General features: G+C 41.9%; 1 long non-coding RNA gene and 1 pseudogene across 6 annotated transcripts in view, besides 1 other annotated feature; both read left to right on the forward strand.

The window, feature by feature from the left end:
* The window catches only part of CA5BP1 (carbonic anhydrase 5B pseudogene 1), a 28806-nt pseudogene that overhangs the window by 8444 nt on the left and 6716 nt on the right, over nucleotides 1-13646 (forward strand). For all 4 annotated transcript variants that reach the window (NR_026551.2, NR_160541.1, NR_160543.1 and 1 more), the window contains 2 exons: nucleotides 5302-5499; nucleotides 9604-9699. The product of NR_026551.2 is annotated as a carbonic anhydrase 5B pseudogene 1, transcript variant 1 (transcript). The remainder of the gene's footprint in view (nucleotides 1-5301; nucleotides 5500-9603; nucleotides 9700-13646) is intronic.
* CA5BP1-CA5B (CA5BP1-CA5B readthrough) overlaps nucleotides 1-13646 on the forward strand; it is a 112954-nt gene that overhangs the window by 7902 nt on the left and 91406 nt on the right. For both annotated transcript variants that reach the window (NR_160544.1, NR_160545.1), the window contains exons 2-3: nucleotides 5302-5499; nucleotides 9604-9699. This is a non-coding gene — a long non-coding RNA (CA5BP1-CA5B readthrough). The remainder of the gene's footprint in view (nucleotides 1-5301; nucleotides 5500-9603; nucleotides 9700-13646) is intronic.
* Nucleotides 11587-12129: an enhancer, noted in NCBI's record as "NANOG hESC enhancer chrX:15713069-15713611 (GRCh37/hg19 assembly coordinates)". NCBI's record gives its function as "activates a minimal SCP1, AML or CMV promoter by ChIP-STARR-seq in primed H9 embryonic stem cells {active_cell/tissue: H9 hESC(primed)}" and the evidence as "EXISTENCE:reporter gene assay evidence [ECO:0000049][PMID:30033119]".

The following is a 13646-nucleotide window of genomic DNA, read 5'->3' on the forward strand; positions in this document are numbered from 1 at the left end:
CACAGATAATCTTTAGCTGTCAACTCAGATTGCTGTTTGCTGTTATCTCAAGTAGCAGACAGTAACTGTTGATAGTCCTAACTTTAGGGACTTGTAATATAACAAGATAAAAATAAAAGCCTACACCTGTTATCCAAGATGAAAATAAAATCAGTTTCACTTAGCGTATCATCTAGTGAAATTTAGCGTGATGATCGCATAAAAAGATTTAGGTGGCCGGGCATGATGGCTCACGCCTGTAACCCCAGCCCTTTGGGAGGCCATGAGGGGCGGATCACGAGGTCAGGAGAACGAGACCATCCTGGCCAACATGGTGAAACCCCGTCTCTACTAAAATACAAAAAATTAGCCAGGCATGGTGGCACACACCTGTGGTCCCAGTTACACGGGAGGCTGTGAGGCAGGGGAATCGCTTGAACCCGGGAGTCGGAGGTTGCAGTGACCCGAGATCGTGCCACTGCTCTCCAACCTGGGTGACAGAGCAGGACTCTGTCTCCAAAAAAAAAAAAGATTTAGGCATGAGATCTTAGGCCATAGGAAAATTAATTTAATAATGTTAATTCTTAATGAAATATAAAGAGTATCAGCTATAATGTAAATAGTACAAATTTAATATTATTCCAGTGATTCTTAATGTTCATGATCTCCCTGCTTTTAGAAAGAAAAGAAACATTTCCTTTTAGGATAACTTGGACTAGAATGGCGCTGTCTAAAATGTAGCCACAATTAAATGTAGCCACTGTGGGTATTTACCTGTAAATTTAAGCACATTAACATTTTATAGCCTCATGTGCCTACAACTTACCATACTGGACATTTTCATCTTTAGAGAAAGTTGTATTTGACAGCACTGATTTATATTATAACTCAACTGTGTTATAAAGTTCTATTATTTTTCCAATTAATTTTGAAGAACCAAAGCCTGGAGAACAATACTTGTTTTTTGGTTTTTGTTTTTTTTTTAACTTTTATTTTAAGTTCAGGGGTATGTGTGCAGGTTTGTTGTATAGGTAAACTTGTCATGGGGGTTTTGTACAGATGAGGACAAGAGTTTTAACAGGCTTGTTTTGCAATGTCTTCCTAAAGACCTCTGATATAGGCTGGGATGCCTCAGACTGTACTGTCTCCATTAACTTTCAAATAATCTTGAGAAACAGTGGGAGGATTAGGAGTCCCATGGAATTGCACTAATGGCTTCAGGGTTGTCTTCAGCTACCTGGGACTGACGATTAGCCCTGGAACTGACCGCCAAGAAATGTGGGCTTTTAGTCTCCTGTGCTGATAACTGCATGTGTATTCTATGGCTAATGGACTCAGCATCCAAGTGCCTTTTAGAGCCCTGATGCTCTAACAAGGCAATTTGTGATCCTGCGATTATCCTCAGCCAAGTCATACAGAGGGTCCCTGTGTATACACCCATCACTGCACTAAGGCCAAGGCCTACACAGATGGTCTTCAGTAACATGAGGAAACAGCACATCCCTCGTAAAAAGGGTGGTACATAGCAAGGGACCAGATAAAAAGCACATGAGGGTATAGGGCAACATTGTCCTATAGACATATAATTGAGCCACATATGTAATTCTCAGTTTTCTAATAGTCACATTAGAAAAGGGGAAAAGAAAACAGGTGAAATTAATTTTAGTAACATTTTATTTAACCCAGTATATCCAGGATATTATCACTTTAACATGTGATCCATATAACAGTTATTACCGAGTTTACATTGTTTACCTTGCACCAAGTCTTCAAAGCCTGTTGGGTGTTTTACATTTACAGCACCACTCATTTAGGATTGACCACGGGGGCAGCATGGAAACACCAGCGTTTGGAAAGAATGAGGAGAATGGTTAGATAAGTGAGGAGGGTTCTACTAGAAAAACACAGGCACTTGGACACAGAAGTTTCCACTTGATGTACTGTCTTTAGCACAGGAGCACCCTGACAAAGCCGGTAATTTGGGAAAACTGAGTGGCTGAACTCAGGGGGTAAAGGGAAGTGAGAAAAGAGGACAAATGACCAAGAGGCTTTGTGTGAAGTCCATGGCGTAGAGTTCAGAACTAGGCTAGTGGTCTGGGCAAGGCGAGGAAGAGCTAAACCTGAACGATTGTTAAAGAAAAATAATGTGATCAGTGGGGGTAATGGGAAATAAAGCAAAAAGAAGCAAACTTCTTCGGTGATATACTTCATCTGATTCATTTGATCCACCGTAGTTGTTGAAAGCCAGCTTGCTTGCAGAGCAGTGGGGGAGGCCGATAACTAAGTGCGTGTGCATATAATTATAACTATACCCATGTAATAATGTTGTGAAGGACAAAACCAGAATGCTGTGATTAAAAATTCAAGGGGATCATGTTATAGGAGGGTAGTCAAAGAGGAGAGGAGGTGACAATTAAGGCAATAACAGGAGCCAGTGCCAAGTGGAATGAGGGGAATGATTCCAGCAGAGGAGAAGAATCAGGAACCGAGGGGCTTGAGGCAGAAATGAGCTTTCTACATTTGAAGAGCCCAGGGACATACAAGGAGGCTAGAGAAATAGGTGGTGCAAGCATAAAATAAATCAAACGCAGGACTAGGCATATAAATAAGAATTAAGACCAAGTGCATCCTCACCATGAAATCTAAAGGAGTTTTCTTGCTCATCAGTGACAGATTATTGACACCTTTTTAATGACAGTGTGCCCTTCACTCATTTAAACTGTGATTGAAATAGTCACAATCTCTTCACTTTCTACATATAAGAAAAACCTGAAAATGAAGCCTCTCAGAATGCTTCGTGGTCACCTTCCTGTTTTGAGGGAAAGTATGAGAACTGCCAAGAAATCATTTCTATCTGTATTTTGTTAAAATGGTAGAAGGGGAGGGAAGAGGAAAAGAAAAGTGTGAATTTATCATTAGCAAAACAAGCCCTTGGCAAAAAGTTGGCTTCAATAGGGGGATAATGACCAAGGACCACCTCTCCCCACAGTGGGTTGGATGGTCTAGCCTAGATGGTCTTTGTTTAAAAAGGAGGAGGTGGGTAGGAGGAAAGAAACCTTCTGGAAGCTGAACTTGTAAACTCAAGGGCATAAACTGATCGTGTCATTATGGTCATTAAAGAGCAATTGAAGGAACAGGCTCAGTTTTCTTGGGCTGGTATTTGCATGAGTCTGAGTGTTGATACTTCCCATTTCATGAATGAGATGGGGAACAATTAAGGATGACCAAGGCATCGTCTTAGGGAGCTGATCGTCACTCCAGTTCTTCCCTAGTCTTCATGGTAGACCCTGATTGAATGGCTTTGAAGAATGTGAATTCTCACATTATCAACCACAGTCTGAGTGTCTGAGGGGAAGGTGCGTAGTCTCTTTGTGTCAGGAATCTTTTAAAATATAATCAGGGCCTTTCAAGGGCTTTCTAGAAGGAATCTGCATTCCAATCAGATTTATAGTATTGAAATATTGTGCCAGTTCAAATGCATTTTTAATTTTTGGCTCCTAAATTTAACAGAAAATTATTGTTCTTTTTCTGTTGTATTTTTTCTGTTTTCTGTTGTAAATCTATTATAAGGAATTCTTTCATACTAAGAAAAATGAAAACATTGGGTTCAACCTGTTGGGTATTATGCTCACTGGCTGGGGTGATAGGACTGTTGGGACCCCAAGCCTCAGTGTCACTCCATATACCAAACCTGCATGTGTACCCTTTATAGTTAAAGTTGAAATTAATTTTTTAAATTAGGTTTAAATCTCTTTAGAGATAAGAGAATACTATGTTATAGGAAGAAATAGGAAAAAAAAAGAAGAATATTCTGAGTTTCTGCAGACTGAGATTCTCACCTGGGCCACTATTGACATTTGGGGCTGGATAACGCTTTGCACTGGTGGCTTCCTCCTGTGCTTCGTAGAATATTTAGCAGCATCCCTGGCATCTATCCACTAGATGGCAGTAGCACCCTCTTCCAGTTGTGACAATGAAAAATGTCTCTAGATATTACCAAATGTCCTCTGGGGCCGTAGTCACTCTCCTTGTTGAGACCACTGGTCTGGATGCTCCCAAGAGAGCTCAGTGTCTATACTGCCAGGACACTTTTGCCTACCACCACACAAAAATAAAGCCAAGGCTAAGATTTTAAACTTCCATCTTTGGGCTGCTACTGAAGCAGGAGAACTGTCGCCCCTGTAAGAGTAAACCAGAAGCAAGTTTCTGGTTTTTATGGAAACAAGAGGATGTCCCTGCCATATTCGGGGGATTTGACTGGGTGGGAGCTGCCTAGTTATTTCTCAAATCCTTCGACCCATTCTTAGTGGTGGGGCAAGATGCAGAGGGTCATTGGTAATGATTTCTCTCAATTCATGTTTCTCCTAGTTTTCCTATTGTCCTTGATTCTACCCATCCATGGTACTTCTAAAGGACAGGGAAATGGACCACCCCAAACTGATATACATTGGTTCTGCTCATCACACATGGGGATCTCAACAGGCCAATCTGTGTTACCAGCAAGTCTACTGATACTTACCAGGGACTTGCTACAGAGACCTGGTGCTTGACTCTGGAAGAAAATCAGCATCAGCAATGTCTTCAGTGCCTATGGAGGATGAATTGTATGTGTACACCTTAATAGATAATCTCCACATCCCTGTGACACACTGCAACCTCCAGGGACCTTAGCAATGCCGATGTTCTACCCAGGTTTTGCAGGATGGCTGCCTGGTCCTCAGAGTTTGCTTACATAGGAGGTGAACTCAACTCAGCACGCACAGTTATGTGGGGCGAGCATCTTATGGGATGCAGGCTACACAAGTCTTTTTTTCTACCAGCCAACCAGTTAAACACTGACAATACTTGATTGAACATTTCCTTTCTCAAAGTTCTTCCATTTCTTTCTTTTTTTTTTAAATGAGTCTGTTATTGAAAATCGAATTAGTTTGTCTTTGTATTTAGAGCTAGTTTGGGGGCTTGGGGCTTGGGAAATTCTCAAAGAAGAAAAGAAACTCATTTATGAATACCTATTTCCACATGGCGCTAATCTCCATGCATTTTACTGTTATCACAGGACTGATTGCACTTGGTTTAGGTGAGCTTAGTAGGCAGACTGAGACGAGTTGGGTTTTCAAGATGGCAGAATGCTGTTTTTCTGCACAGTGCTTTCTGACTTGTCTTTAGCCTTTGCTTTAGTCAGCTGCTTAAGGCCCTGAATGGCTAATTGCTAAAGCTCTTAGTTCCCATTAGCCTTGACAGGGTCTCCAGAAGTGGAATTGCCTCATGTGTGATGCTAGATAGTAGACAGTCTTGATAATAGCCTGACCTGCTTTCTCCTAGTGCATCCACTCTGGGAGAGCGTGGACCTGGTTCCTGGGGGCGATCGCCAGTCACCCATCAACATTCGGTGGAGGGACAGTGTTTATGATCCCGGCTTAAAACCACTGACCATCTCTTATGACCCAGCCACCTGCCTCCACGTCTGGAATAATGGGTACTCTTTCCTCGTGGAATTTGAAGATTCTACAGATAAATCAGGTGAGGGCAAGATCTGGTGGTCTTGTAAGGAGTTAAAGAAACAGTGTCATGTTAACAGAGGACACATCAAACTCTCTCCATGATAGTATTGACCTCTTTGTGAGCAATGGCATGGAACTCATTGGAATTTAAAAAAAAATTGTGGTGAAATACACATAATATGAAATTTATCATCTTAACCATTTTTAAGAATACAGTCAAGTAGTATTATATTAAGTACATTTCCATTAGTGTACAATCATCACCACCATCTATCTCCAGAAATCCTTTCATCTTGCAAAACTGAAACTTTACCCATTAAACAGTAGCACCCCATTCACCCTCCCTCCAGCTTCTCGCAGTCAGTATTTGGCTTGCTTGCTTGCTTGCTTTTCTTTTCTTTTTTTTGGAAACAGATTCTTGCTCTGTCACCCAGGCTGGAGTACAGTGGGGCAGTCTTGGCTCACTGCAACCTCTGCCTCCCAGGTTCAAGCAATTCTCCTGCCTCAGCCTCCCGAGTACCTGGGATTACAGGTGCCCGTCACCACGCCCAGCTAACTTTTGTATTTTTAGTAGAGAGGGGGTTTTACCATGTTGGCCAGGCTGGTCTCGAACTCCTGACCTCAAGTGATCTGCCCGCCTTGGTCTCCCAAAGTGCTGGGATTACAGGCATGAGCCACCATACCCAGCCAGTATTCTGCTTTCTGTCTCTGTGAATCGGACTACTCTAGGCACCTCATATGAGTGGAATCATACAGTATTTGTCTTTTTGTGACTGGCTTATTTCAGTTGGTATAATGTCCTCAGAGTTCATCGATGTTGTAGTATGTGTCAGAATTTCCTTCCCTTTTAAGGCTTAATGATACTCCATTATATGGATAGACCACATTTGTTTATCTATTCCTTACCTTTTGGCTTTTGTGAGTAATGCTGCTATGAACATGGGTGTACAAATATCTCTTTTTGACTCAGTTTTCCGTTCTTTTGGGTATATGCCCTGAATGGGCTTTCTGGATGATCACTGGACTCACTTTTCAGTGTATGGAAAAATTCCCTTCTCTTTTATATGGATGTTTCCTTCTACTAGTATAGGTAATATTTTCTATTAACAAATACATATATCTGTATGTACAGATTTTGTAATTGATATAGAAGAAAGGGCATGAAATGAAATGAAAGATTTGCCAGAAATCTATTTTCTGTGTGTGTATGTGTTGAATATGTACTAGTTTTCCTTGGCTGGCTTACTTTGCAGATAACTTCTATATTAAATAGTAATTATGTTTAATTACATTTTAAAATGTAAGATTGCAATACAGAGCAGAAGGATAATTAGGCAAGAAAAACACATTTTATATTTGGGGTCACCTGATAACGTGTATGTATTTTATCATTTATATATTTATGTTTGTAACATTTTCTGAGTGGCAACTATGTGCAAGGCACTGCACAAAGTACCAGGAGTACTAATTCTCAACCACCCAAAGGGCAAAGTCTAGTGAGGGAAGAATACTCGAAATTAAAATTATAAAGCAAGTGTGATTTGAAAAATGTTTCTGAAAGTGCTATGGGACCACAGAGGAAGGCATGTGATACAGACCACTCAGAGGAGTCTATGATGATTTCACTAAGGAGGAGCCATTTATATTAGGTATTAAAGGATGTATGGAAGTTTGCCAAGAGGATTAGAAGGGCATTCTAGACTGAGGGAAAATCGTGCAAAGGCAGATTTGATAGAATGTTCAGGAAATGACCAAAAAACAAAATGATGTGACCAGAATGTTGAATGTGTGTTGTGGGGAGAGGCAGTGAGAGTGGTGATCATCAAAGCATAATAGGGTAGATGGAGGGCAGGCTCATCAGAAACTAGTTATTTGTAAACAAGAGAGTGGCATAGCTTGATTTCGTTTAATTAGCAGTTTATGTTTTTAGATTAACCCAGGCAACAATGCAGGGCCACAAGTTGCGATTAATCCAAGTGATAGATGGTGAGAGATTAAATGAAGGCAATAGAAATATAGAAAATGAGCAACTTTTAAAAAGCATTTCTGAAATAAAAGCAACAGGACTAGGAGGTGAGATCCTCTTCCAGAGAACAGAAAGCAAAGTTAACCAAGACCTTGAGGTGTCTCACTTAGGAGACTTGGGGGAATGGTGATGCCAGAAAATAAGTTCATGAGTGGTGGACAAGGAATGATTTGTAGAGAAGTTATCTTAATCCATTTGTGTTGCTGCAAAGGAATATCTGAAACTGTGTAATTTATAAAGAAAAGAGGTTTACTTGGCTCATGGTGCTACAGGCTGTACAAGAAACATGGTGCTCACATCTGCATCTGGTGAGGGCCTCAAACTGTTTCCCCTCATGTTGGAAGGCCAAGGGGAGCCAACGTGCAGAGATCACATGGTAAGAGGGAGAGGAGGAGGTACCAGGCTCTTTTCAACAATCAGTTCTGTGGCTGAATGTGATGGCTCACACCTGTAATCCCAGCACTTTGGGAGGCCAATGCGGGAGGATGGCTTGAGGTCAGGAATTGGAGACCAGCCTGGGCAATATAGTGAGACCTTGTCTATACAAAAAAAAATTTTAATTAAAAAAAAAAACAATTGGCCAGGTATGGTGGCCCATGCCTGTAGTCCCAGCTACTTGGGAGGCTGAGGTGGGAGTGTCACTTGAGCCTAGCAGGTCAAGGCTGCAGTGAGTCACAGTTGTGCCACCGTACTCCAGCCTGCGTGACAGAGTGAGACCCTGTCTCAAAAAAAAAAAAACCCAAATCAGTTCTCTTGGGAACTAAGAGTAAGAACTCACTTCCACCCGAATGGCACCAAGCTATTTATAAGGGATCTGCCCGCGTGATCCAAACACCTCCCATGAAGCCCCACCTCCAACATTGGGGAGCAGGTGTCAACATGAGACCTGGCAGGACCAAACAGACCATATCCAAACCATAGCAAAAGTATAGGGAAATCATAAGGAAATATAATTGCTTCTTACAGCTTTTTTGTAATTTAGGTTTTGTTTGTTTGGTTTATTGGTTTTGTTTTTTTTTTTAATAGGCTCTCACTGTGTCACCCACGCTGGTGTGCAGTGGTGCAGTCATAGCTCACTGCAGCCTTGAACTTCTGAGCCCAAGTGATCCTTCCGCCTCAGCTTCCCAAGTAGCAGGGACTACACGATTATGTACCACCACGCCAAACTCATTTTTAAATTTTTTGTAGAGATGAGATCTCACTGTGTTGCCGAGGCTGGGCTTGAACTCCTGGCTTCAGGTGATGCTCTTGCCCCAGCCTCCCAAAGTGCTGATGTGAGCCATCGCACCTGGCAGCAATTTAGTTTTAAATGTTGTATCAACAATAAAAAGAACATTTTAAATGGTCATCTCTCAAAGAAGAAATGTGTCTTCAACTCTTTTTTTTCTTTTTTTTTTTTCTTTGAGACGGAGTCTTTCTCTGTCACCTAAGTGGCGTACGGTGGCGCGATCTTGGCTCACTTCAACCTCCGCCTCCCGGGTTCAAGCGATCCTTCCACCTCAGCCTCCTGAGAAGCTGGGGTTACAGGCATCCACCACCACACCTGCTAATTTTTGTATTTTTTTTTAGTAGAGACGGGGTTTCACCATGTTGGCCGGGCTGATCTCAATCTCTTGACCTCAAATGATCCACCCACCTTGGCCTCCCAAAGTCTTGGCATTACAGATGTGAGCCACCACACCCGGCCAGTCTTCAACTCTTGTCTAATTCCTATAAGGAGAACTTACTTTTCTCAATATAAACATTTTCTCTCCTTTAAATGTAAATGGATTTTGGATGTTAGTATTTCATGCAAAGCAGAATGGGAACGAGCAAATGTTGATCCCTTACTGAAATGCGACTCAGTTTGCTATATGTATTTTATTTTATTTTTCTCCCCGAGTCCTTTTATTCCAAAGAAATATTAATTGCTGTCCTTGCCTAAATTTCTTCCTGATCTTTGTTTCTATCTCATTTTGGATTGTCATATGGTTTTCTTGGTGGCTTTACTTTGGGTGAGGAAACATGTTTAAATGTCATAGGTTGACTGAGGCTGTGGGTTTATTCTGGAGAGATTCTGTATAGTCACGTGTTAACCCTCTTTTCATGGTGTTTCAGCTGCACTTAGTGCATTGGAACGCAGTCAAATTTGAAAACTTTGAGGATGCAGCACTGGAAGAAAATGGTTTGGCTGTGATAGGAGTATTTTTAAAGGTAAAAAATCTCACCAACTTTAAATGACGTGTTGTATTCTAGGATGAAAAGATAGAACAGTATAATATTGTTATTTACTTTAAGAATATTGGGATCCCTACACTGGTAAGATAAATAGTGATTGTTAAGGATATATTTTAAATGGCATGAAACCGTGCCATCCAATAGAGTGGTCACAAGCCACACGTGACAGTTGGGCACTTGAAATGTGGCTGGTGTAACTTAGGAAATGAAGATTTAATTTACTTCTAATTCACTTAAATTTCAATTAAAAAACTGATATTCAATTCAGTTATTGAAAAACTTTTGGGTTGGGCGTGGTGGCTCACGCCTGTAATCCCAGCCCTTTGGGAGGCCGAGGCAGGCAGATCACTTAAGGCCAGGAGTTCGAAGCCAGCCTGGCCAACATGGCGAAACCCTGTCTCTACTAAAAATACAAAAATTGGCCGGGCGTGAAGGCAGGCGCCTGTAATCCCAGCTTCTTGGGAAGCTGAGGCACAAGAATTGCTTGAGCCCACGAGGCAGAGGTTGTAGTAAGCCAGGATCGTGCCACTGCACTCCAGCCTGGGCGACAGAACGAGACTGTCTCAAAAAAAAAAAAAAAAAAAAAAGAAAAACTTTTAAGAATGTTTGGAACCATTTGGATATGTATATATATGTTTTCAAGTATAAATTTTTTGAAATCTAAATATAGATCAAGTATTTTTGATGAAAAAGGTAGCATCCAAATTGAGATGTGCTGAAGTGTAAAATACACAACAGATTTTTAAAACTTAGTATGGAAAAAATATAAACCATCTCATTAATAACTTTTCGTATTGATTACATTTTGAAGTGATAATATATTGAATATATTTGGTAAAATAAAATATTAAAAAGGATTTCATCTATTTTTACTTTTTAAATGTGGTCACTAGAAAATTAATTACCTCTGTGGCTTGTATCATACTTCTGTTTTTAAGCATTGGTATAAAAGGATAAAGGCGAATAAATAAATAATAGTTAAAATGTAAGATTAATGTATTTTAGGCCAGGTGCGATGGCTCACACCTGTTGTCCCAGCACTTTGGGGAGGCCGAGGCGGGCGGATTACTTGAGTCCACGAGTTCGAGACCAGCCTGGCCAACATGGTGAAACCCCGTCTCTACTGAAAATATAAAAATTAGCTGGGTGTGGTGGCGGGCACCTGTAGCCCCAGCTACTCGGGAGGCTGAGGCAAGAGGATCACTTGAACCCGGGAGGCAGGAGCTGCAGTGAGCTGAGATCGCGCCACTGCACTCCAGCCTGGGTGACAGAGTGAGACTCTGTCTCAAAAAATTTAAAAAAAAAGAATACATTTTAAACGGAAGAATGTATTTTAAGCAGAATAGAAAGATAAAGGCAAATAACTAGGAAATCTTGAAGGGAACTAATATTCATGAGTGCTAAGTGACTCCATATTTGCCAAGTGCTTAGTTTATCTTTCTAAGAATTCGGCAATATTATTGTCTCCATTTTTCAGATGAAGAAAGTGAAGCTCAGCGAGGTTAAGTGCTTTCTTGCTAGGTCACACAGCTAGCTAACGGAGGACTGGGGTTAAAAATCCATAGGCCACACTCTCATGGGGCCCCTGAGCTCTTGCAGGTTCAGCAGCTACAGGCTTCCTGCATGCTTCCAACTTTAGTCTGCACTAGAGGCTGAGCGTTTTAAGGGTACCTGGGATTTGTTTTAGTCGGGTACAGTAAGACATGCAGACATGGGAATGACTGTCATGAAGGAAGAAGTTGATCCTGTTTCCAGATCCCTAGAAGCTGGAGGCATGGCACACTGTGCAGAGCCACATGAGGAAGCACCAGGGTTGGTCAAGAGGCAGAGAATGTGAGGGGAAAATGCGGGCAAGAGCTTTTATTGTGGTTTCAGTGGGAAGGAACAGGCGAGGCAGGGTAAGCAGGCTTGGGATTGGCTAGTTTGAATAATTTCAGAGTGTTCTGGGGCCTAGGGGGCTGTCCCCACTTGGCTGATACCTGACCGTGGAGTGATTGGTGCAGGAGAACAGTGGCCCCAGTCTAAGAGCCTGATAAAGGAGATGGTGGGGCTGTAAGCTCTGGATTGCATATGAAAGGTGCTCTTGCAGTTGTCTGTTCTCTCTGGGAATTAGCCAGCCTTGGGAGGGACAGTGCTTGTGGTGTCAACAAGTCCCCAGATATCAAAGCATTAAATACAAAAGCTATTAATAGAAAACGTGCTTTATGTACTGAGTCTCCTGGAACATGCCCTTGAGGACTTAGGGGCCTGCGCCGAAAGCCTGGCCTTCATGTGCTGTAACCTGTTTGAAGAGCTTCAGCCTCCAGGGTCCCTGTGGGCCAAGGCTTAGGAAGGCCCGGGGAGGTGAGTGGAGCAGGAGCACCTTTCCCTGTGGACTGCAGGCACAACGTCAGACAGCCTGCTCATGTGTTCTGTGTCCAGTTTAGTTCGGTGATGTTTATAACATTCTAAATTGCCAGTTTAAGTGGTTTCAGACTGTGATTTGCTTTTAGGTAATCACCAGATGGTCATTTTTAATTCATATTTCATTCCAATTCTACAGTGAGATGTCCGTTGTTTTTAATGTTTTCTCATTTGTTGTTCTTTAGCTAGGCAAACATCATAAAGAGCTATAGAAATTGGTGGATTCCATGCCATCAACTAAGTGTGGGGTAGTATTTTTCCTAAATTGCCTGAAATATATTTTGTGTTTCAATCTCAAGAGTGGAGACATTACCAAGGCACTTTGAATTGGGAAGTTTAAGTAGGTGAACTGTATTCCAGTTCTCTTTCAACACTGCCTTAGAAGGAGACCTGTAATTTATGAATGACCCTGGCCCTGGGTCACATTGCAGGGGACAGAAGTGATCATGTGGGTGGGCCAGTGAGCTTTCTGGTTTTGCTGCAGTGCCGCTGAGGACTTGGGGACTCAGGAACATATTGCTGTCCCCTCCTCTGTTCCTGACACCGGCTCCTTCTAAGTCCTTGTGAACACACCCAGAGCAGCCTTCTGTTCTGTAGCTGCCATCCCACAGGCAGGGAGCAGAGCGCAGTTCTACAGAAACTTGCCTTGTCCAGCTGGAAAGAACAATGACCCACATCCTTCAGGTTGGATGCCTTTGTCCAGCCCCCCAAGATTATTTCTTCTATATTCAGAATCTCAAAGGGCTGTGCTCTGGAGGCCCATATATTGTCTCCTTCTCCCTTTCATCCCCCACTGTATCCTTCTGGTCCCCACCTCTTTCCCCCTGCTTTCCTCTCCATTTCCCTCTTTTTTCCTCTCTCCCCTTTTAGTCCAGGTTTCTGGCTCCTCCTGATCTGCATTTCATTTTTTGTTTGTTTCTATCAACTTTTATTTTAGATACAGGGGGTACCATGTGCAAGTTTGTTACATAAGTATGTTGCATGATGGTGAGGTTTGGGGTACAGATTCCATCACTCAGGTAATGAGCACAGTACCAAATGGGTAGTTTTTTAACCCTCTCCCCCCTCCAGTAACCCCCAGTGTCTATTGTTCCCATCTTTATATCTGTGTGCTCAATGTTTAGTTCTCTCAAGAACATGCAGCATTTGGTTTTCTGTTCCTGCATTAATTCGCTTAGGATGATGGCTTCCAGCTGCATCCATGTTGCTGCAAAGGACATTATTTCATTTTTTATGGCTGTGTAGTATTCCATAGTGTATATATTACATTTTCTTTATCCAGTCCGCCGCTGATGGGCACCTAGGTTGATTCTGTGTCTTTGCTATTGTGAATAGTGTGACAGTGAACATATGAGTGCATGTGTCTTTTTGGCAAAATGATTTATTTTCCTTTGGGTTTATATCCAGTAATGGTATTGCTGCATTAAATGGTAGCTCTGTTTTTAGTTATTTGAGAAATCTACAAACTACTTTCCATAGTGGCTGAACTAATTTACATTCCCACCAACAGTGTATATGCA

This window comes from Homo sapiens, chromosome X, assembly GCF_000001405.40.
Source record: "Homo sapiens chromosome X, GRCh38.p14 Primary Assembly".
NCBI lineage: Eukaryota > Metazoa > Chordata > Mammalia > Primates > Hominidae > Homo > Homo sapiens.